This window comes from Homo sapiens, chromosome 17, assembly GCF_000001405.40.
Source record: "Homo sapiens chromosome 17, GRCh38.p14 Primary Assembly".
NCBI classification, from domain to species: Eukaryota; Metazoa; Chordata; class Mammalia; order Primates; family Hominidae; genus Homo; species Homo sapiens.
In genome coordinates, this window is record NC_000017.11 from 51,397,269 (window position 1) to 51,399,502 (window position 2,234).

Here is a 2,234-nt window from a genome sequence, read left to right on the forward strand (position 1 = left end):
AAAAAAAAAAAAAAAAAAAGATGGTTGTCAAATATCTGTGCTTTGGAGTGAGTGTCGGCCCAGATTGCCTTTTTTGGAGATTGCTCTCTCTCTCCCAGGTGTGGAGAGAGATATGAGTCTGGGTCTGTCCTCTGCCATCTCAGCCCCTTAACCATAGAGCTGATTGAGCTGGGGCAGACACCTAAGTCAGGGGTATCACCAATGCATTAAGCCAACCAATCTCTATTGATCAACAGAATGAAAGGGTATAGAGACTGACTGGATGGGATGGTGTTGGGCAAGGGACGTTCATGCAATGTTGGGGCCAGAGTTGGAGCCAGGGCCAGCGAGACCCATTGGCAAACTGAAGGTATTAGGGGAGACTCTAGAGCCTTGCCCCAAAGCTGGTCTTTTGAGAGGATTAAGTGGAGAGAAGCAGAGATGTGCCAAGGTCCAGACGGAGAGTTGCAGGAGTTTCCCAGTCCTTTGCGACCCAGTTTCCTGTCTCTGGATGCTTGATTGCTTATTGTAGCCCTACAATGACTCAATCTAGCCCAAGAGAGTTTCTTTTCCTTGAAAGCAAACAACCCCTGACCAGAAGAATGTCACAGATGACGAGAGGTGCCTCATCACAGAATCAGGAACAGTCAGAATCTCAGTGGGAAGCTATGCAGCTTCCAAGTGCAGCTTGATGAGTCAGCTGTGAAGACAGGGTATGGTAAGTATGGCATGAAAGGCAAGGCGCACCTATGCAATGATCCCTCCAGGCACAAGTGTCCCCTGGGGGTCCAGGGGGAGTAGGAAAGGAGGGAAGGTTACCAACGGCCTGTCGGGTTCCAGGCATAGTGTTAGGTGCTTTACATATCTTGTTTTGTTCTTTGGTAATATTGTTGGGTTGAATAATGACCCCTACAAATATGTCCACATCCTAATCCCAGAATCTGTGAGTGATACCTTACACGGCAAAAGGGACTTTGCAGACAGAAGTTAATGATCTTAAGACTGGGCTTATCCTGGATTATCCACATGAGCCTGGTATAATCACAAGGGCCCTTCCTTGTAAGAAGGAGCCGAAAGGGTCAGAGTCAGAGAAGGCAACGTGATAAAGCAGCAGTTGGAGTGATGTACTTTAAAGACGGAGGAAAGGGCCACGAACCAAGAAGCACAAGTGGCTGTTAGAAGCTGAAAAAGCAGGGAAATGAATTCTCCTCTCAGATGCTCTGGAAGGAACCAGCCCTGCTGATATCTTGACTTTAGCCCAGTGAATCTGAATTCAGACTTATGAGCTCTAGAACTGTAAGAGAATAAATCTGTGTTGTGTTAAGCTACTAAGTTTGCAGTGTTTATTATAGCAGCAATAGGAAACTAATACGGTTGTATTTTTATAATCCTCATTTTTACAAATGAGGAAGCTCAGTCAGGTTGAGGAACTTGCCCAAAGACACACAGCTAGCAAGAGATGGAACAAAGGTTTGGTCCTGAACTAGGCTGTCAGACTCAGAGCCTCTGCTTTTCCCACTATCTGATTTTGCTGCCTGAGCAATCTGCTTTCCTGAGCACGTCTGCACACATCAAAGGCTCTGTCTATGTCTGCTGGATGAGTGCACGGTGTTCTGGAGTCAGAAGGATAGGTGGCATGACCTGTCAATAGTCTTCCTTTCAACAACTGTGCAGAAATGCATGCAACCTTCTATGGCCCCAGCAGCTGGGCCCTCCCAGCTAGATCTGGCATCCGCGTCTCTTAGGTGCCTGCTTCTTTCAGGATACAGGAGTGGGTCTGATTTATTATGGTGCATTCCCCAATTTCATGCCAAATGATTCAATTACAGTCACCCTCAGCACTCAGGAGAGGCTTCCTGCTGGCTCACAAAGATGAGACCAGAGGTGGCCCGGAGCATGTAGAAAAATTTCACCTTATTATTTATTGGAGGGGGAAGTGGCATTTCTCCCACTTTGGAGTAGGTTTGTTAATCACAATGTATGAGAGAAGAGGGAGGAAAAATCTTCTCATTTTCAAAGCGAAGTCAGGTTTTAATGAGGAAATATGGTAATGTTTTTACTTTATTTTCCCTGGCTGCCTGTGTCTGTCAGCTCAGGGTTACTCCTGGTCTGTTGAAAGGAACAACTGTTTATTGACTTCCCACTCTCATGCAAACAATGGCTCCCATTTATTAAGTATGTACTGTGTGCCAGGTACTGTGCTGGGCAATTTACAAGTAATCCTTAAACTGAGCCCGGAAAGTGAATGTTAGTAT

The 2,234-nt window shown here is 46.0% G+C and overlaps 1 annotated feature.

Moving 5' to 3' along the window:
* Nucleotides 308–895: an enhancer, noted in NCBI's record as "OCT4-NANOG-H3K27ac hESC enhancer chr17:49474937-49475524 (GRCh37/hg19 assembly coordinates)". NCBI's record gives its function as "activates a minimal SCP1, AML or CMV promoter by ChIP-STARR-seq in naive H9 embryonic stem cells {active_cell/tissue: H9 hESC(naive)}" and the evidence as "EXISTENCE:reporter gene assay evidence [ECO:0000049][PMID:30033119]".